At 43.9% G+C, this 21558-nt stretch overlaps 1 protein-coding gene and 1 pseudogene across 4 annotated transcripts in view, besides 6 other annotated features; both read right to left on the reverse strand.

The window, feature by feature from the left end:
• Window positions 1307-1974: an enhancer, noted in NCBI's record as "H3K27ac-H3K4me1 hESC enhancer chr7:151157640-151158307 (GRCh37/hg19 assembly coordinates)". NCBI's record gives its function as "activates a minimal SCP1, AML or CMV promoter by ChIP-STARR-seq in primed H9 embryonic stem cells {active_cell/tissue: H9 hESC(primed)}" and the evidence as "EXISTENCE:reporter gene assay evidence [ECO:0000049][PMID:30033119]".
• Window positions 3075-3626: an enhancer, noted in NCBI's record as "OCT4-NANOG hESC enhancer chr7:151159408-151159959 (GRCh37/hg19 assembly coordinates)". NCBI's record gives its function as "activates a minimal SCP1, AML or CMV promoter by ChIP-STARR-seq in naive H9 embryonic stem cells {active_cell/tissue: H9 hESC(naive)}" and the evidence as "EXISTENCE:reporter gene assay evidence [ECO:0000049][PMID:30033119]".
• On the reverse strand, window positions 5403-5691 carry RN7SL76P (RNA, 7SL, cytoplasmic 76, pseudogene; annotated as a pseudogene).
• Window positions 5472-5973: an enhancer, noted in NCBI's record as "H3K27ac hESC enhancer chr7:151161805-151162306 (GRCh37/hg19 assembly coordinates)". NCBI's record gives its function as "activates a minimal SCP1, AML or CMV promoter by ChIP-STARR-seq in primed H9 embryonic stem cells {active_cell/tissue: H9 hESC(primed)}" and the evidence as "EXISTENCE:reporter gene assay evidence [ECO:0000049][PMID:30033119]".
• Window positions 6765-21558, reverse strand: part of RHEB (Ras homolog, mTORC1 binding) — a 53884-nt gene continuing 39090 nt past the window's right edge. For all 4 annotated transcript variants that reach the window (NM_005614.4, XM_011516457.3, XM_024446854.2 and 1 more), the window contains 5 exons: window positions 18086-18168; window positions 12302-12358; window positions 12147-12194; window positions 11324-11405; window positions 6765-7964 (listed from right to left, as the gene is read on the reverse strand). In NM_005614.4, the coding sequence (NP_005605.1) occupies window positions 7872-7964; window positions 11324-11405; window positions 12147-12194; window positions 12302-12358; window positions 18086-18168 (363 nt within the window). In that variant the 3' untranslated portion in view covers window positions 6765-7871. The remainder of the gene's footprint in view (window positions 7965-11323; window positions 11406-12146; window positions 12195-12301; window positions 12359-18085; window positions 18169-21558) is intronic.
• Window positions 10550-10629: an enhancer, noted in NCBI's record as "active region_26864". NCBI's record gives its function as "activates an Ori minimal core promoter by ATAC-STARR-seq in GM12878 lymphoblastoid cells {active_cell/tissue: GM12878}" and the evidence as "EXISTENCE:reporter gene assay evidence [ECO:0000049][PMID:35858748]".
• Window positions 12549-12598: a silencer, noted in NCBI's record as "silent region_18816". NCBI's record gives its function as "represses an Ori minimal core promoter by ATAC-STARR-seq in GM12878 lymphoblastoid cells {active_cell/tissue: GM12878}" and the evidence as "EXISTENCE:reporter gene assay evidence [ECO:0000049][PMID:35858748]".
• Window positions 13819-14078: an enhancer, noted in NCBI's record as "active region_26865". NCBI's record gives its function as "activates an Ori minimal core promoter by ATAC-STARR-seq in GM12878 lymphoblastoid cells {active_cell/tissue: GM12878}" and the evidence as "EXISTENCE:reporter gene assay evidence [ECO:0000049][PMID:35858748]".

The raw sequence follows: 21558 nt of genomic DNA on the forward strand, positions 1-21558 counted from the left end.
TTCTCATGGGAGTACGAACCCTATTATGAACTGTGCGTGCGAGGGACCTAGGTTGCATGCTCCTGATGAGACTCTAACTAATGCCTCATGATCTAAGATGGAACAGTTTCATCCTGAAACCATCCCCTCAACTCCAGTCCGTGGAAAAATTGTCTTCCATGAAACTGGTCCCTGGTGCCAAAAAGGTTGGGGACCACTGTTCTAAGGACACCAGCCATTGGTTTAGGGTCTGCTCTAATCCAGTATGTGCTCACTTTAACTTTGTTCGTTGGTAATGACCCTATTTCCAAATAGAGTCACATTCACAGGTACTGGGAATGAAGACTTCAACATGCCTTTTGCCGGGAGGCAACTCAACCCACAGCCCCCCTCAGTCCAAGTCCCCAGGGGGTGGTGAGTGGCCTGGCCACCTCTGCGGTCCCACAGTCCTGTCACTCCGGCCCGTGCTCCCTCCTAATCTGGACAATAAGAGCCCTGTGCCATTATTGTCCAAGCCAGTGCTTCTCAAAATGCAGCCCCTGAGCTCGCAGCAGCAGCAGCAGCAGCGTCCCTGGAACTTGGAAGACATGCAGATGTCCTGCACCTGACGGGGCCTCTGCAATCAGGGACTGTGCGGGGGAAGCCAGCCTGTGTCAGCGAGCCATCCAGGTCACTCTGATACAAGCCAATATGTGGTAACTGCCGAGCCAGGCGGCTGCGCTGGCTTAGAGCTGTTACTGTCATTCTACAACTTTACAACAATGCCCCAGACACAGAAAAGGTTGCGCCTTGGAACGATTTCTGTTATGGGATAATAAAAATCCCGACGTCAGAGCTAAGGAATGTGACCTTCCGCTGCTCCAGTTGTAACTCCCTGCTGTCCTCCTGCTTGAGCCTTTTAGGGTAAAGTTCAGCACATATCACCCTCGTCAACCGCGCCCCGTAAGGCAGCCACAGAGTCCTGTGCTGATGTACTTGAATTCCTTGCTGATCTGATGATGATGGGAGCAGGAGGGGAGTGGAGGGATATACAGAACGCCAGGCGGCAGCCACGCGGTGCAGGCAGAGGCTCTCTCCTCGCAGGAGCCTGCCAGCTGGCTGTTGTGTTCTTGTAGGGAATAAATCAGGAGGCACAGCTCTGCCCGGGGCTTTCTTGGGCAGTAGGAGGAACTGGGTGAAAGGTCTTGGCTGCTGAGGCCACAATATTTCCCGAATCCTGTGCTATTTCTTGTGAAACTACGAATCCAAGACTGTTTCCTAGATTGTGGCAGATGTGGGACCCGGGGGGACCTTCAGAGTCATCTCCCAGGCGACTCTCTCCTTTGCAGATGAGGAGCTGAGGTCCCACCGCTCAGAAGCTGACTGGGCAGGTCAGCAGCCTCCCTGGCCAGGACACAATCTGCTGCGCTGCCACAGGGTCTGGCTGGGCAGGTGTGGGACTGAGCTCTGGGGACCAATAGTGACACCGCACAGGCAACCTTCAGCATGCTGGACATGAGAACGAGGGCGGGCCTGCAATCCTCGGATCACTGTGTTGGTAGTTCTTAGTAGATCATACTGTTCTTGATGCCTTGGGCCAGACTGGAATGAAATATTTTTTCTCGGATTTGGTAAACTCGTTTGCTGGGGTAAGTCGTGGTGTTCCGTATTGCTTTGGATGTGTAGCCCAGGAATAAGATGGCAGCACTGCAGGATTCCGGAGCCACCCACAGCACCGACTGCTGCTGGAGATACACAATCATGGGCACTCGTGAAGCTGCAGAAACTCACGGGGACCCTGACACCAGGTGAGAGCTCCAGCTGGCAGTCTGAGGTTAGCACACCCGTCCTCAGGACTGTGGCTTGGTGCTTCTATAGCACTTTGGAAACATCCAGGGTTTTCATACTTTTGGCTGTGACAACGATCCCTGGTGAAGGGAAGTTTTAAAATAAAAGAAGATCACAAAATATAAAGGAGTTGCCCAAAGGTTTTTATTAGCTGTAGAGGGGGCCAGGACCGGAATGTTCCAAGTCTTTGTCCCTGACTGGGGATGAAGCTCTGACTGGGGTTCCCTGTGGACAGGCTCATGGGCTATGTCCCAATGTGGTGTGGTGGAAACACAGACTAAGTGGGGGATCAAGTAGCTGCCCCTTGACCTCTCTGGACCTCGGGTTCCATGATCTGAAAACAAGGATGTTAAATTAGATCTGATTCTTTCCAGTTCTAACCCCACAGCAGCTCTCACCTGGCCATTCTGTTGCCCTCTAGGAAGTCATTGAGGTAGGGAGGATGGGCAACACAAAAATTGTTTTTTTTCTTTATATAAAACATCCCCTTCTTGGGGGAGGGTAACGAGGTGGAATGGTTCTGGAATCTCCCAAGGAATGCTTTGAAGGCATCCTGGTTCAAGGATTGCTAGGCAGTGTGGGCAACCGGAGTAACCACAGCATCCAGAGGCTTCTGCGAGCACACACACCTCCTGGAACCTCAGGCTCTGCTGAGGAGGCTCTGGCACAGGGGCAAGGCAGCAGTGTGCACACCTCTTAGACTGGGGCAGCAGCCTGCAGGCACTACAGATATTCCCCTGAGAGCCCAGACCTCTACAAGCATTGCTATGAGGCAGCAGCACATTCTGGGGCATCTGAGTGACTTTCAGACCTCTGGGTACAGCTGCAATCTCAGTCTGTTTGTATTAACAATGGCAGAGGGCACTGAGCAGGAGCAGCCCTTCTTTGTTGGGAGCTGGTGTCAGGTGGACTCAATAACGACAGGTCAAATGGCAGCACAATGCACTGTATACATGGTGGGGAATTTTAATCACACAGCAACAGGTGCAGGCTAAATTCAAAAGAACCTGTCCAGAAGGTGGTGCCCTACAAAGGCGCCTCTGCTCATTCATTCAGCAGCCACACCATCAGGAACTGTGCAGTAAGGACCCCAGGAACCTAATGAGAACACTGGCAAAAACTGTCCAAAAAAATAAACGTTTCCAGAGCTCCGGAAATTAACCAAAGGCTCATAACAATCCAGGGAGTGTTGAAGGAAATTGGCTGAACCTCAGAGCAGTGAGCATTGTGGCATTTTTACTGGCCCTATTCACAGCCCTCCAAACCTCTGCCCCTGAGCTCCCTGGTAGCCTTGAAAGCAACAGCAGCAATCCCCATAAAACTCAGCAGCTTAGCAGCCACAGGAAGGGTCAAGTTGGGGTTGGAGCTCAGTGACCTCATTTGCCTGGTCTGGTGGTTCCACCTGCAAGCTAGCCTGTGACCTGACTCTGAGCTAGGCTCACCCAGCACTTTCTCCCTGGGGACGTTTATCAAAACAATCAGCAGCAATTTAGTTGACACTGGGGCAAACAACAAGCTAACAGAAACTGGAAAATGAGATGCCCACAGGGGGCCTGGGAAGCCATTATGTTTCTGGGGTTACACAAGAGCCTGCAGGCTCCAGGCTGAGTGCTGCTCATGAAATACCTGAATAAGTTGGGTAAGTAGAAGTGCTGACAGCAAAACTCTCCCCCCAACTTTTATACCCAACAAGACTATCCTTGAAAAATAAAGAAGACATTCCCAGATAAACAAAACCCATGATAACCCATTGCTGGCAGACCTGCTCTAGAAGATATACCAAAGGAGCCCTTCAGGCTGAAAGAAAAGGACACTAGACAGTAACTTGAATCCTAATGAGGAGTAATAATGGGCACCTGTAAAGGCAACCACATAAGCATGTAGAAAAGACAACATCAATGTATTTTTTAATTGTAACTTCTTTTCTCTATTTGATTTAAAAGGCAACTTCATAAGCCAATTGTAAGCCTGTGCTGATGGGCATATAATATATAGAAATGTCATTTGCATGACAATAGCAGCACAAATGAGAGAGGAACTGGAGCCAAGCTTTTGTATGCTATTGAAATTAAGTTGGTATGAATCTTAACTAGAGTGTTATAATAAAGTAAGATGTTAACTGTAATTCCCAGGGCAACTGCTAATAACTTAAAATACACACACACACACACACACACACACACACACACAAACTACAAGGAAATTAAAATGGCACAGTAGAAAGTATCTATTTTATAGGCTCTGTGCTAGGAGGAGCTTGGAATCAAAGATGTCTGAGACACTGTCTCCACTCCAGCCAAATCTAGTCGAGTAATACACAACATACACAATACAAGGAACAAAAGTGATGATCAGTTATGACACATGCTGTACCATATGATAAAACATGAGTGCTTGGATAGATTCACAGAGAGGGGTGCTTCAGGCCATCCTAGAAGCCCCTGGGAAGAGACAATGTTGAGATCTGAAGGGTTAGAAGTCTCGGGAAGGGGTGTCCCAGGCAAAGGAAAGAGCCCCAGAAGCCCCCATGGCTAAGAGAGCTTTCTGGCTCTGGAAACTGATCAAGGCCACTAACTAGACAGGGTTGAGCTAAGCAGCAGCAAGGTCACTCTGAGCCTTGAGGCTGGGACACACGGATTTGGCACAATCATCACGGAGGGATTTTAAGCAAAGGAGCAACATGATACTGTTTTTACAAGCTGGCTTTGGCTGAGGTGTAGGGGCTCAGAGGGTGTCCCATTGCAGACCAGGATGCAGTGGAGACAAAAATGGACAAAACACAAGGTAGATTTTTGAAGGCAAGGCCCTTAGGATTTGTTGATGGATCGGATGGGAAGTATGAGGGTAGGGATAAAGAACAGCTCCCAAATTGCTAATTTTCATACGGACCCAGTGAATAATGGTGTCATTTCCTGAAACAGGAAGTCCAAGAGAGGACCAGGTTTCCAAGGAAAATCAAGAATTCAGTTTTGGACATAGTAAACTTGAGATGCCTATAAAACACCCAAGTAGAGAGTCTGTCAAGATCAGCCTGGAGCCCAAAGAGGTCAAGGTGGGAGATAGACATTTTGGACTCTTCTGGTTACACAGAGTTACAGCTATGCTTGAAGAGTATCAAGGCAGAGGGTGTAGGCAGGAAAAAAGGTCTGCTGAGAGGTTTGATACAGAACAGCCAAGGAGACCAATGCACCAGCAGAGCTGGCAGGCTGACCAGGAGATGGTGGGGTAATGATGACGCAGGGGAGACGGCGGTGAACTGTGTGGAATGCTACCGAGAGGTCAAGAAAGCAACCGGAAACTACTAGATTTGGTGACAAGCAGGTGAGAAGCCATTCAGGCAAGAGCATGGCTGGTGAACCAGTGGGGAGAGATGTCCAGAGTGGATGGACAATTTAGTTTTAACAAAATTCTATCACACTAATTTTAATTTGTAATGTGATTTTATAATTTGTATTTTAAAATTTAATTTTGAACTGCAAAATATTTTGGATATAGTTTTATAGTTGCACTTCCTGTATTTCAATAAATCTAAGACTACACTTACGTACCACAAAGAAAAGCATTACCTTTTCAACACAATTTTTTTTTTTTTTTTTAAGAGACAGGTCTGGCTATGTTGCTAGCTGGAGGGCAGTGGCTACTTACAGGCACACTCCCACTACTAATCAGCTCAGGAGTTCTGAGCGCTGTTTCCAGGTTGGATGGCTTCACCCTTCCGCAGGCAACCTGGCGGTCCCTAGCTCCCAGGTCACCGTATTGATGCCGAACTCAGTGTACACACAGGATTAGCACGGCATACTACAGCCCAGAACGCCTGGGCTCCAGCAATCTCCCACCTCAGCCTCCTGAGTAGCCAGGACTACAGGCACATGCATCATGCCCAGTGACAATGTTTTATCACTGATTATAAGACTAATGCTCTGCCAGGCGCAGTGGCTCAGGCCTGTAATCCTAGCACTCTAGGAGGCCGAGGTGGGCGGACCACCTGAGGTCAGTTCAAGACCAGCCTGACCAATATTATGAAACCCCGTCTCTACTAAAAATACAAAAATAAGTCGGGTGTGGTGGCATGCGCCTGTGATCCCAGCTACTTGGGAGGCTGAGACAGAATTGCTTGAACCTGGGAGGCAGAGGTTGCAGCGAGCTGAGATTGTGCCATTGTGCTCCAGCCTGGGCAACAAGAGCGAAACTCTGTGTCAGAAAAACCAAACCAAAACAAAAAAACAAAACCACGAATGCTCAATCAAGTAAACGAGTCAACTGTCTTCTTGGGATTGCTGCCTTGGGCAGCTGGACGGGGGCCTACCCTGTGTGGCATCTCCAAGGTTCAGCGCAGGATTGACGGCACACAGGGGTGCAGGTTTCTCTGCTGTGTTCATGGCACTCAGAGAAGTGTCTGGCACATGGCAGGTCCCCAGGGCATATCTGAAGGAATGTGTGCACTGCGTCACATAAAGAAATGATACTATGCTCCCTCCACTCAGGAGGTCCAGTCCTTAAAGGACCACCTCAGGAGAGTTCAGTTGAACTTGAGTTTCTAGTACAATATGCTGTTCTAAGTTCCATTTACATAGACATAACTGGATGGACTAGGTCCCCATTTTCTGTTCAGTGCTCTTACATTTTTAGTCCTAAGAATAACCCTGGTAATAAGTAACAATACTGTGTTGTCAAAATTTAAAAGGTGATTATTTGGCCAGGCATAGTGGCTTAGGCCTGTAATCCTAGCTACTCAGGAAGATCACTTGAGCATGAGCCCAAGAGTTTGAGGCTGCAGTGAGCTATGATCTGCACTCTAGTCTGGGTGACAGAGTGAGACCCTGTCTTTAAAAATGTATTTGGTGGAAGTCTTCTAAAGCAGAAATTTCATCCTGGAATGACAAATGAGGCAAAAATATTTAAAAGATCCAAATTAATGGCATGTGTTTTAAGAACATAATTTTTCATTAACAATCAACTGCAAAGCAAAACTATATTTTATTAATAAAGTCAATGGTAACATTTGCTTACGTATTAGAAATAGCCCTGTGAAATTTTAGCTGCAAAAGGGAATCGTTTAAAAAGCACTGCTCAACTCCAAGTTTGACTTACAGACAAGGTAACAGCCACCAAACAAATGAAATCCCTCTTCTCCTTTACAGCTGCTCCTTGGACAGAGGGAGGCCCGTCATCTGGGTCTGAAGGAGGCTCCCAAGACTCTGACACAGAACACTAAACTCCAGGGTGTTCTAGGACAGTGACAGGCAAGGCTGTTCTCAATCATCTCCTGTCTGACACGGACATCGAGCTAAGCTATGAGCAAGGGCGAACAATGCCTCTCAGCAGCTCCTCCTCCTTGACCAGGCTCCCGACCACGGAGCATTTCAGTCAAGGTCTAGGGATTTGAGGGTGGAAGGAGAGAATTTCATCACTGGGGAGGAACTCCCCTCACAGACCCCCCAGGGCCACTCAGCTTCAATCAGCTGTAACCCAGCCCCAACATCTGCAGGCCACTGCGCAGGGAGTCCACGGTCAGCAGCCACCTCAGCACACCTCCTCCTGTGGCCACATCTTCACTGGTTTCTGGAATCCAACCTGGGGCCTTCCTGAAGCCAAGTGAGAAACTCAGGACAAGGCTTCTCTTCTTTGAAAGCCACATCAAGTAGCACAAAGGACTGAGGTTTGCAGCTATTTTATTTACAAGTATACATTTAACACAATGAAATAAACACTGATATACTGAAGCCTAGTTAATAGTAGTGTAACAATATGCATCATTTTGATGATTACATTATTTTAAACAACAAACTACACTGAAAAATTAATGCCGATAAAATTCTTGGTCATAATATTAAGAAATACAATATATAAATTGAAAATATGATTGCTTAAAATTTGAAAATGGAAGTGAACTCATTTGGACAGACTCAGAGTTAACATAATCTGAAGGGAGGGGAGCTCTGACCCAAATGATATCTTTCAGGTTAACAGAAGAAAAAAGAAGCATAGTTTATCTTCAAGGAGAACGGGCAGTTTGCTTCTTCAGGTAGAATATATTCCCAGTGTCCTCAGGCTTTGCAGCAGAATCACATCACCGAGCATGAAGACTTGCCTTGTGAAGCTGCCCCGTCCATTTTTTCTGCCTCCAAAATTATCCTTCGAAAAACATCCACAGCAGTCTGAAAAGAGAAAGAAACCCAATCACAGTGTTAGTGTGAAGCCGAACTCCGAGAGTATTTTACGGACTGAGGAGGGCGTGCCGCCTGCCCTGCCCTCCTACTGGTGGAGGAGGAGGGGTTCTGGTGAGCCCCAGAACTTCAGGGCCCCCCGACGCCCAGTAAGGCCACTGTCCACCCCTCCTGACCCAGACCATAACCAGCCTCCGATTGTGCTTTTGACCCTGTTTCCTTCAGGCACCAGGAGACGCCCGAAGAGTCCTCACTCCCAGACTCACCACCATCTCCTGTCCCACTCCACCCCATGACCCCCACCCCAGTGTCCTCTGACCTCAGGGTCCCTCTTCACTTCTGGCACTATCTTTCCTCCTTTCCTACGGGACATACTCTCCCAGCAGCCCTTGCCTCTCACATCCTTGACACTAAGAGGCCTGAAGTGGGGAAGGCACCCTCCGTGCTCCTGAGATGCCACGATGCCAGCCTCCAACACCTCTGTGGCGTAATTCTCGGTCATTTCAATCCACAAACTGCCCTCCCTATCTCCTGGCCTCTCCTCTCCTGCCCGTCTTCCTGCCCTCAGCCTCAGCCCAGGGTCAACCCCACCAGTCCTTCACCACAGACAGGAATCATGGCCACTTGGAGCAGGAACTCTTCCTACACTGAGTGGGGAGGAGAACTGTCAGACCCTGTCCTTTATTTTTCCTTTTTTGTTATACAGATTGGAGGTTTCTATGTTGCCCAGGCTGGCCTCGAAAGCCTAGCCTCGCCTCCTTATGCACCAGGACAACAGGCCTGAGCCACCGTGACTCCCAGACCCTGTCCTTGAAATGCAGTCCTGTGGTCATGAAAAACTGCCCCTGTTCTCAGAAGCCCCACAGGAAGTACCCTGTTCTCCTAATCACCAAGAATCCCCCTCCCCCATCACTCCAGTGACTTCCACTATCCCACGAAACCAGAACACACCAACTGCCAGCGTCCCACCACACCACCTTCCCAGCTCTTTCTCTAGCTATCCTGAAGCAACAATTCTCAGCCCCACAAGGGGCCTGATTTGTTGACCCTATTATTACATCTCCCCTGTCCCTTAACCACTTCTTGCTGCTCCTTTCCCTCTCGGTCAGCTCAGACTCAGCAGGCCACCATGGCGCCACTGTACTTCAACTCCCTTCCCTACCAACTGTCGCTGGCACGGTGCCCGCGGCCACACCGTAAACGCTGCCCAGGGAAAACACACACCGCTCACTGCTGACCTCACACCCATGACCAGGAACCTGGCGCAGACACTTGGTGCTGCCTAGCCACCCGCCTGCATCCCTGGATCTGGGCACTCCCCAGAGAAAGCATCCACGCCTTGTCCCTTCTCCTCAAATGTTCCCCGTGCTTACGCTCAGCTGAAAACCTTGTTTTACACACTTCACTGGAAAACAGAAGCCACATTCATGAAAGAACTCCACATCCTCCATCCACCAAGCTGACCCACCCACTTGAATGTGGGCTCCCATCCTCAGCCTTCTGTCCTGTTGGTATGAATGAGGCGTCTGTCCTCCTAGTTAACTGAAGCCAACCCCAGGTCCCACCCCGCTTGTCTAATCTAGGTCACCGGCTTCAGATCACCTGATTGACAGGAAGCAGTGTGTAGAGAAAAAAGGACTAGATGTGGATGAGATCTACAATTCAGTCCTAGTTCTTATACCACGTAAGGTAGTGGGTGATCTTAGAAAAGTCATTTAACTTCTCTGAAACTTAATTTCCTCACTTCTAAAATGAGGCGGTTTAACTACATGATCTGAAGGATACAGTCCATAGGCACTCAATGGATTTAATTCAATTTTTAAAATATAGGTATCTCTTAACTATCTCAATTCTTATTTGAATTCTGTGTATACTCAGAAACTGAGCTGACTTCGATAAATCCCTTGCTATCTGGAACTTGGGAACGAATTACACACATCTGTTTAATCAGTTTTTTTCATCCGCACATAAGAGGACATAACCACATGGATTCACTATCCCTCCATATCCCAACACAGGACAAAGCCAATTTGACTATCACAGGATACTTGGGCTGACGGATAACCCACTGTGCTAAACATTATGAAGGATATTTATATAAATGATACTGACTCAGATCTCAGAACAAATTAAGAGGGCTAAGAGAAGAAACCACAATTTCTTTCAGCTGGATGGATCCAGAGGGGGTCAACAAGAAGGTGAAATCTAGGTGGGGCCTTGAGGACTACAAACCTCCGTGCTGCGGAGAGGGGCGGGGCAGGGAAGGAAGAGTGCCAAGGCTGCTGGCGCCCGGCCCTCCCAGGGAGGAGGCACCACCCTACTATACTAGAGTTTCCTCAGAGAAATGAAAACCAAGTCATCTTACCTGAGGATCAAACACCACCACATGTTGAAAACACATTCAAAATATAAAACCCCACATGAACCTAAGTAGATACTTAGAGAAGGGCTATTTTAAACCGGAGGGGAGCATGAGGAAAGGTGAGACATTTTGAAAGTGGGGTGGACAGGAGATGGTGTGTTTAAGGAAGGGAGCAGTTTGATGTGATGGAAAGTACAAGAACGTGGTGAGAGAAGAAACTAGAAAAGAACAAATTATTGACTGCATTCAGGACCAGGCGAAGGGTTCTATAGAGAAGGGGCAGTTCACTGACAGTTTCTGAGTAGAGGATGATACCATCAGATGTGTATCTTTAGAAAATTAAGGGCAGCAAAAAAAATGTATAGGTGAAAAATGCACTGGGGGCGGGAGACAAGCTTGGTGCCGGGGGTCTAAATTAGAGCAATGGAAGAGAAGGGCTCATACAGGACTGTGAAGCCTCCGGAGGCAGAATCTACATCCTTCCCAGAACATGCCTTTGAAGGCACATCTGCGGGGTGAAATTGGTACTAAATGCTTATAAGATGGTTCTTCATCATTTCTATGTTAACAATTAACACGTACGTCTGACCCGGTTTCATCTAACAGAAAAAAAGCCAGGGGGTGGGTAGTTACAAAATTAGTACTAAAGTGATATAATTCTTTTTTTTTCCCCTGTATGGACTTATTTCTGTACCAGCTATTAATACAAACCAAAAATATATGTTTACAAAAGGTAGTATTTCCTTTACTAATAGTTTCTGTTTATCCTACAAATATCCTAGGTTCCACTGTAAGTAGAATACTGACTGAATTTATAAACACCTAAGTAGTATCTTCCTAAAGCAACACAAAACTTGGTATTAGAAATGGAGGAAGGCCAGATGTTACACAGGAGTGATCAAGACAGAGGTCAAATGCCAACTGCAAGGAACACATCCCTGCGACTGATGAGAACGCAATGCAAAATGAGGTTTATAGAATCTGTTACCTGATTTTCTTTAGCAGAAGATTCCAAAAAAGCTGCATTCCAAGATTCTGCCAAAGCTTTCCCTTCTTCATAACTGATCACCCTAAAGAAAAAATAAAATTCTAGTTAAAGTACTTTGCTCTTCATTATATAAAACATGTATAATTGATTTATGAAACAGGCTCCATTTTGGTCAATTTCTTTCTCATGAAGCAGAACCATGCCCTGGCCTAACATTAGCATCAAGAATGTAACACAGGAGTGTTTTAATTACGCCTGAGCTGGGGAACAGAATAGACATTGCTTTATGGGATTATCCATGCTCCAGCAAACCTTCCAGCTCAGAGAACATGATCTTATTTTCCAGTACTCCCGTATCTGTAACAATTGACTATTTTACAGCTAGGTTGTAAGCACCCAAGGCCAGGGGAAATTGTGAAAGAGCCTGAAAGCTCAATTCTCTTGCATGCAGGCTGTAGAGTCTCTTCCTCTCTGACATGAAGCTGCCTGGGCAGGGGACATCTGCCTCCTTTGCTCCTCACTGTAATCCCAAACCCTGGTACTCAAAAACCACTTGCTGCATAAATGAGCACTATGTCTTTTTAGAATTTGCTTTATGCAAAGTGGCAGATAACCTAAAGGTAGTTTCCTATAAAGTTTGCTCTCTCTTTTCTAGAGGAATGTGAGATTTCTATTCCACTTTTGCTTCTGCTGCACACGACCATAACACCTCTGAACGGATAAAAATGCTACAGCTAAAAATATTCTTGACATCAGAACAATAATTAAAATGATACTTCAGTGACTAAATCATCTTAGATTTGACTTTATAAAAGCTACATACCTTTCCATATGCAGGTCTTTCTTATTCCCAACCAACATAATAGGTATTCTATTTGTAAGAAAAAAAAGACAAACCAGTAAGTGCCAGATTGTATTGCTCAGAAGATACTATTAAAAGAAGTTTCTCTAACAAGCAGATAAAATGGTACTACTTACTGTACTTTCCCCACCATATCCAACAATTTGCCATGGATAACTTTAATCACTTCAAAACTATAAAACAAAAAGTATAAATTAGACATCCATTTTAATGTTGAAGTTTTTAAATGTATGTTATGTTGCCAGCTGGAAAAATGTAAAATGTCACAGACTCACCATTTTAACATAACATAAAATGAACACAAAGAACTCCTGTTTTTTCCTAGCAATCCATTCACATGTGCATACATCTGACACTCAGCAACCCTGACTGAGGATATTCAAAGTGAAACAGGTAAGGCATTCAAACGGAAAGCCTACCACTGGGCTGAGAAACCACATAAATGCAAATTTTAATCACCCAACTCATTCAGCAAAGAACCAACTGTTTACATTACAACTTGAACAGCTTTTCCTAGAGTGCCCTAGTACATTCAGCCTGCTCCTGTGTTCTTTCCTAGGTACATACATTCTCTGGGTGATGCCAGTATCTCTTGGCTTTCAATCAGATCAATGAGCCGATGACTCTAGGATGGAGGTGGCTCTCACCGGGAAGGGGATCTGAGATGTCATAATGATCACTTGAAATCTGCCACAGCAGGATTATTTATACCACTGACTGCTGGCAAATGGCCACAAATCATTTTCCACCCTCCCCCAAAAAACCCATGCAAACATCTGCCAGCACATCACTGGCTCTACTTTCAAATCCTACCTAGAATCTGACGGCTTCTCACTCCCCTCCACTGCTGCCGCTGAGGTGTGAATTCCTGGCCCAAGTCTGCCTGCATCAGTTCCACAGCCCCAACCCTTCCCCGCCACCCCTGCTCAGCACAGCAACCAGAGGACTCTGCTGCAGCAGATGGACGGTGCCTGGTTCAACATCCTCTGATGGGTGGCCATCTTTACTCGGCCCCAGTGACTCTCAAGCCGCAAACTTCTGACCTCGTGATCCGCCTGCCTCGGCCTCCCAAAGTGCTGGGATTACAGGCGTGAGCCACCACACCCAGCCTCAAATGTCACTTCTTACACCTCTTCTGTTTACCCTAAATGACAAATTTCCTTTCCATTTCTTACCCCTTCCGTACTTTATTTTTCTTGGCAGCATGGTCACAGACATCCTATCTCGCATGTGTGTCGTTTTACTGTTTGTCTCCCACACCAGAAATAATAGGTCCGCAAGGGCAGGGATTTGTCTGCTTTGTTCATGATTGCATCACAAGCTTCAGAATAAGTTAGCTTGTTGAATGAATTACACACTGTGCTATTTTAAACGATGTGTGCTGTCATTTGATAAAAACAAAAATGAAATTTAACCCCCCTACAAGCTCGCTGTGGGTCAACAAATGGGATATGGGTGTCCTAAGGACCTGCGGTTGCATTACAGAACCACGGTTTCCTCCGCATGCTGTATTTGCCTATCTTTAAAAGTGTCGCCACTTGGGCAAAAATACAGTACCCTGTCACGTGAGAAACAGCTGAAAGAACTAGGACTGTGTGGCAGGCAGCTTGGAGCCGGCTCCCAGATCTCCTGCTCTCCTAGTGGCCACACTGTGTGTCATCTCCCTGCATGGACCTAGTGACGTGCGTCTAATGAACAGAATATGGCAAAGGTGATGGAATGTCCCTTTTGCGGTTAGGTTATAAAAGACAGTGGCTTGTCATGCAGGAAATTCCCTGGCTCTCTTGTGCACCTGCCCCAATGAAGTGAAGCACCTGGCAAGGAGCAGAGGGCAGCCTCAGGCCAGCGGCCAGCAAGGAACTAAGAAGCTCAGTCCAACAACTTGCAAGAAACTCAACCCTGTCAAGAGCCACGTGAACACGCTGGGAAACATCTTCCCCCAGGCAAGCCTTCAGATGGGACTGCAGCCCCTGCTGATACCCACACTGTGGCTCTGAGAGACTGAAGCAGAGGACACAGCTAGGCCACACCCAGATTCCTGACCCACAAAAACTGTGAGATCATAAATGTGTACTGTTCTAAGTGGCTAAATTTCTTGAGATCACTGATTTTCTGAATCAAACTGGTTGATTCGGAAAGTTTTACTGACGTATTTCTTGGATATTCATAAATATTTGTGTATTCAGCATACAGATTTCTAAAAAACAAAACACCACTCTTCTCATACTCCCTCATGTCTCAAATTTGAGAATGCTGATTAAACTACGAGCTACTAGAAAAAAAAGGCATTATTTAAAACAGCCCCATTTGTTCCCAAACCCACTTATGCCAGTTAAATTCATCATAGTCATAATTTATGTTGCAAACTTTTGAAGTATGTGTAGACAGAGTTTTGTTTGTCTGAAAACTAGAAGTTGAATACTGTGAGTTGATCTACTAAAAACGGTGCTCCTTAATAAGGTGTGCCAAACCAACTGAAAAAGACTGGTGGGGAAAATCACAGCAATCTAAATAGTTGAGGTGTAGACTGTTTCCCAAGCATCTCACTCGGAAGAAACCGAACCAGAAGTCATAATGGACAAATCGTGGATGTAGTCATACTGAACAGCAGTGGGTGAACTCATATTCAAAGATGACAATTTGAAAATTTCACAAGATGAGTGACTGAATGTATATTTATGCTTTAAAACAAAACACTGGAGATTGACATCACCTTTCCGATTTTTTTTCCCTTTAACCAGTGTTGTTTTTTTGTTTTTTTTTTGAGACACAGCCTTGCTTTGTCGCTCAGGCTGAAGTGCAATGGCATGATTTCAGCTCATGATACAGTCTCCGCCTCCCAGGTTCAAGAGATTCTCCTGCCTCAGCCTCCCGAGCAGCTGGGATTACAGGCACCCGCCACCACACCCGGGTAATTTTTGTATTTTTAGTAGAGATGAGGTTTCACCATGTTGGCCAGGCTGGTCTCGAACTCCTGACCTCAAATGATCTGCCCACTTCGGCCTCCCAAAGTATTGGGATTACAGGTGTGGGCCACTGCGCCTGGCCCTTAACTAATGTTTTAAAGTAAGTAACCCGGCTGCCTCAGATAGGAGAGATCTACTCCTATATCAATATACCCAATTTACAGGCGACAAAGGTACGGTGAAGTAACTTGTCCAAAGTTGTTAGTGGGGATAAATGAAAACCCAAATCTCACATCTCTCAACTGCAGGTTTCTTTTTTCCATTTCTAGAAATTATGAAATAGGATGTATTTTCGCTTTATTTACTCAGAAAGAGCAATTCTACAGGGGTTTTATGATATAAAGGAATAATGTGAGACTTCTGTTTTATTTCACAAACAATGAAAATGGTTATTATTTAGATAGAGGTTAAATTCAATAAAAAGGATTAGACAATTCTGATCAACAAACTGGTTGATTCAGAAAGTTTTACTGACATATTTCTTGTATATTCATAAATATTTGTGTATTCAGCATATAGGTTTCTAAAAAACAAAACACCACTCTTCTCACACTCATGTTTGAGATTTGAGAATGCTCATTAAACTATGAGTTACTGAGGTAAAAGGCATATAACAAAAGAAAACACACCCATTTTAGTAAGGAGAAACTTGGTCAAAACTTGCAACAGTGCCACTGAGAAGACACAGTACCAAGCTTTTTGTCCTCTGCTTTGCACTAGGCCAGTGTTTTCTCAAATACATAAGGTCCTTGGTGAGCACACTTTCATATTTTTAATCCAGCTCAATGTATTTTTCAATTTCCCCAGTGGCACATGCTATGTTTTCAACTTGATTCTATAATGTCATCTAATTTGTGCACACCAAAAAAGAGACTTAAAAAAAATCAGTGGATGCACTAAGAAAATTTTCTACCTACTACTTTAATGCCTCAAAGTAACAATTTGTAAAGTAACACCAACACTGTTTTCTAAAAATCAGCTAGGATAAAATTGTACTTACCAACAACAAAACAATCTTTGAATCATGTTTTTCAAGTAAATTAGTAAAATAATGGAAATTCATAAACAAACATGAACTTCCAACATTCATTAGATTATTGGTACACTAAATTTGTTCTGGACAAGGCCTTACACGTGGCAGTATATACATTTTAAAAATATACAACTGAAATTAAAAAAATCTTTGTATAAAAATGGCCAATAGTTTTACTATTTAAAGTGCTCTTATAAGTCAGTAAGAAAATGATCATGTTTCCAAATACTAAGTACACAGTGGTTTTAAGCATAAAATCCAATCCAAGCATTGCTTTCAGTGACAATATAAATAAATACATTAAACAGGAAGAGAGATATCCATCTATCATTGAACATGAAATATTATAAAGCCATTTACTATTTCAAATACTAGGTAATATGGAAAAATATATATTACATGGTAAGTAAAAATATAAAAACATGGAAAATATAAACCATAAAACAGCATTCAGAGAGCAAATAAAAGGATGTTAAAACAATCCATGCAGACTAAAACAAAGACCAGAAAAAACATATACCAAGATATTAACAGTATCTATGCTTAGGTAATTAGATTAAGAATGATTACCCTCACTTTCTATTTTTCACAGTTCCTCAATTTTCCTTAAGGAACACATAATTCTGGTACTTGGTTTTGATTCAGGTGTAAACTTTCTCGGGGATTGACAGTATGGGGTCTGTTTATAAGAATGGCCGAGAATGGTACTCAAACATTTTATAGCTAGAACTCAACACCCTAAAGTATGTTTCTCTGCCACGGAGAAAAATGTTAAACAACACACTCACAGAGCAGCAGACTGAATTTTCACTGGCAGTGGAGTATGTGGGGGTAAGGAACCCAGACACTGGCCAACATGGCAGCCTCCAGCCACATGTGGCTACTGAGCACCTGAAATGGGGCTACTGTAACCGAGGGAGGCTTAATTTTCCATTTTTAGTTAAACAGCCACCTGCAGCACAGAGAGCAAACACTTCTATCACCGCAGTAAGTTCTATTGGACAGTGTCAGCCTTGACTGTGGAACTGGAGAGATGGCTATGAATCCCAGCAATGTCATTATGTAGCCCTGGGCAAGCTGCTTTAGGTCTCTGTCACTCAGTTTCTTTCCACGTAAAGTGGGATATAAAACATCTCTGATGAAGGATTAAGGTAATGATGAAATAAGTAATGTATCATATGTAGGCAAAGAGAGTAGCAAACTCCCTAACATGTCGCACACACTCAATAGATGCTACGTAGCCACCAAACGCCCTCCACTGGCACTGATATTTTCATAAAGTCTTCAAACATAAGCTGTCACCAATGCCCAGAGCTCCGCTGCTGTATACAGCCAGCTGTTCTGTTAACAGACACAGACCACTGCTCCTCCTGATAATACATGCCATCCCCCGATAAGAGGAGACATGAAATACGTAGCTAGAGGAACCGATATCCATTCTTATTAATAAAAATAGTGGCTTTGTTTTTATGTAGTAAAGTCAGACTCTATTACCAAAAGGTCTTATTTCATAAATTCAAAGGATAAGATATTGAACAAACCCAAACCCCCACATTTTATTAGAAAGTCTATTTCACCTTAATATGGTAAAAACACACACAAAGTAAAATTAATTTAGGCATTTCCCATTTCAATTAGCAGAAAAGCTTAGATCATGCTGAACCACTGTTTTTCTAGGTAGCTTGAGGTAAGAAAGAGCCTTTTATCCTATTGGTGTAACTAACAGAACATCTAGTGGGCCATGTTTCCCAGCAATCCAGTTGCTCCACGAGAAAATCACTAAAAAACATGTAGCCTAATAATTCTAATTGTCACTATTAATAATTCCAGCACAGTCCCTTAAAAGGATCAATGTTATCTATGAGTAGCAAATCAACTCAAGCAGGCAGCAGGAGTCTTACCTTTTGATTGATGTAACAGAATACACAAGAATATAGCCATTAATATCTATGGAGTATGTCTGAGGAAAGATAGAATATTCATCCTGTGGGGAAAAAAAATTATCTTTGAGTAGTCTTCATATAGCATCACAAACAAACTTTACCCAAAGTTTTTCATGTATTACCTGAAGAAATCAAAGTAGACGCAGAGTGGATTACAATATTATGCCAGAAACAGCCTACAAAGTGAAGCTTTAAGAATGGCCTGGAGGTGATAATGTGGTTCAAGCCAATATTTAAAAATGACTAGCTGTTCTAGAACTTTAGGGGAAAGTCTGATGACCTTCATAATTTCTGGGAGAAGAGGATGGATGGAACACAAAAATCATTGGCTCTGTGATCTCAAAACAAGGGATGAGCATCACTAACTCCAGAACCTTCTAGACCTCAGGACATTTATAAATCCTGCTGATTTATCCCATAAATCTGTATTTTTATATTTGAAACTGGCATATTATTTGATTTATTCTCTGCATGTCAGTCACAATGACCTGAGCTTCAGTCTACAGGTTGCTAGAGGGGTGCCATCAGCATCTGAAGGAGAGAGGGAGAGAGGGAGGGAGGTGGGGGAGAGAGAGAGAAACAGAGAAAGAGAAAAGAGGATCAAAACACCAGGTTCAATTGAGGTATTCAGACTTTTGGGGACCAAGAGAGTTATTTACTGAGCAACTCTAGGAATTAAAGAGAAAGGTACCTATTACGCAACAGCACAGTAGTCTTTAGTTTTATAAAGCAGCGTTATGACACTTTGCTTTATATACGTATTAAAGCATACAGAAAGTTCTGATGTCAGTGCAGTTTTCAACAGCACGCGCCACTGTCTGGTACGAACGTTTCATTCTTAGTTGAAACTAAATTGTCAACATAACACATGTCCTAAGCACTATTATGGAAAAATCACATCATGGTACCAGAAGATTAAGCAGCAGTCTATTATTTTTGTAAACTTATAGTATGGTTATAACCACTGTTTATGACAGCCCAGAATTACTGCCCTATGGTAAAGTTCTTTAAAGAAAAAAAAAAAAAGAAAAGAAAAATTAAGTTTTATTATAAATTCTTTGATATAATAAATAAGATTAAAAACAAAATCCCAAATGATTTTAATCACTAGCTCAGCTAGAGTAGGTTCAAAGTTAAAATTCTGTTTTCCCTAAAGGGAAACTGTGGAAACATAGAAAAAAGAAGTTATGTCTAAGAAGCACTGAGTAAAAAACTACCAGTTAGAAGGTATAATGGAGGAAAGAGCCCCCAGCTGATATAATTCTGATTTTTTTTTTTGAGACGTAGTTTCCCTCTTGTTGCCCAGGCTGGAATGCAATGGCACTATCTCAGCTCACTGCAACCTCCACCTCTCAGGTTCAAGCGATTCTCCTGCCTCAGCCTCCTGAGTAGCTGGGACTACAGGCTACACCACCACACCTGGTTCATTTTTGCATTTGCAGTAGAGACAGGATTTTACCACGTTGGCCAGGCTGGTCTCGAACCCCTGACCTCAGGTGATCCGCTTGCCTTGGCCTCCCAAAGTGCTGGGATTACACGTGTGAGCCACTGCACCCAGTCTGATTTTTTTTTTTTGAGACAGTCTCATTCTGTCACCCAGCCTGGAGTGCAGTGGCAGGAGCTACTGTGCCCGGCCTTTAAAGTCTACTTTCTGAGAAAGAATAATAGCAATATAACAATATAATAGCAATTGGGAGGGCAGCTGAGTAGAAATCATAAAGCTCTCATAAGTAATACTGTACTGGCTCACAAACAGAACAGACTGAAAAATCCAGAAAGACCTGACAGATATGAGAATGAGGTACATGATAATATTGGCATTTCAATCAGTGAGGACCAAAAGTAACCCTCAACTGAGTGTAGGGACAAGCCCAGAGCCACCTGAGGATGAATGGCTAAGCTGGAACTCCAATTCACACTTTGGCAAAAACATATTCCAGAGGAAGCAAAGATTTAAAGATGAAAACGATGCGTATGATAGATGGGAGAGCTTAAAATACATTATCAGTTAAAAAAAGATTAATAAGGCCGGGCACAATGGCTCACGTCTGTAATCCCAGCACTTTGGGAGGCCAAGGTGGGCAGATCACAAGGTCAGGAGATTCATATCATCCTGGCTAACACAGTGAAACCCCGTCTCCACTCAAAATACAAAAAAACTAGCTGGGCGTGGTGGCGGGCGCCTGTAGTCCCAGCTACTCAGGAGGCTGAGGCAGGAGAATGGTGTGAACCTGGGTGGCGGAGCTTGCAGTGAGCCGAGATCGCGCCACAGCACTCCAGCCTGGGCGATAGAGCGAGACTCCGTCTCAAAAAAAAAAAAAAAAAGATTAATAAATAAATTCAACTATGTGAAAAAGTTCTTCATGGCTGCAAACCCCTCAAATAAAAACCATAAATAAAAGACAAACTGAAAACAAAACTGTGCATCTCAGATCATATACAAAACGCTAATTTTCTTCACATATCAAGGGGAATCTCACATCAACACGCAAAGACCAACCACCCAATAGAAAAAAAATGGCCAAGTACACAGACAGGATAATTCATAGGGGGAAAAATACAAACATCTTCTAACATAGGAAAAATCAAAGCCCCTCCTAAGAAGAAAAGTGCATTATTAAAAGTACACTGCATTTTTAAAAGTACACTGCTTTTTCTCACCTATCAGATTGGTAAGTACCAAAACGTTTGCTAACACATAGTGCTGGTGAGGGTGTAGGGAAATAGACACTCTCATTCACTGCTGGCAAGAACATGAACTGTAACCCTATGATAGCCCACATCCAGGAAGTTTTCCTATGTGCATTATTACCCTATGTCTAAAACAACGTCCGGGATGTTCATTAAGGGACTGCTGATGGTAGCAAGACCAGCAACAGTCTAACTGTTGATCAGCAGTTAACTTAGGATATATATCCCAACAACTGGATATTACGCAGCCTTGGGGGAAAAGGAGGCCATAGGTATTGATATGGAATAATCTCCAAGAGGGAGATGTATTACTTTTTGTGTAAAAAGGAAAAAAAACAAAACAAAACCCAAGCTTAAAACTATATTTGCATATTCATGTATCAAGTATCCTAGAGGCATATACTAGAAACTGGTAAATGTGGTTGCTGGTGGGGGTGGGGGGTTAGATAGCTAGGGTAGGAACGTCTTAAGTTTTACTATTTACACCTTTTGGCACTATTTATTTTTGTACCATGCGCATTACACCTATTTTTTAAAAATTAAACTCAATTTTCAAAAAAGCAAATTTGGTTACATTATAAGATGGATTGTCATTGAATCAATTTTAATTATTATTAATTATTATTTTTTTTTTTTGAGACAGAGTTTCACTCTTGTTGCCCAGGCTAGAGGGCAATGGTGCAATCTTGGGTTACTACAACCTCCGCCTCCTGGGTTCAAGCAATTCTCCTGCCTCGGCC

Source organism: Homo sapiens, chromosome 7 (assembly GCF_000001405.40).
Source record: "Homo sapiens chromosome 7, GRCh38.p14 Primary Assembly".
NCBI classification, from domain to species: Eukaryota; Metazoa; Chordata; class Mammalia; order Primates; family Hominidae; genus Homo; species Homo sapiens.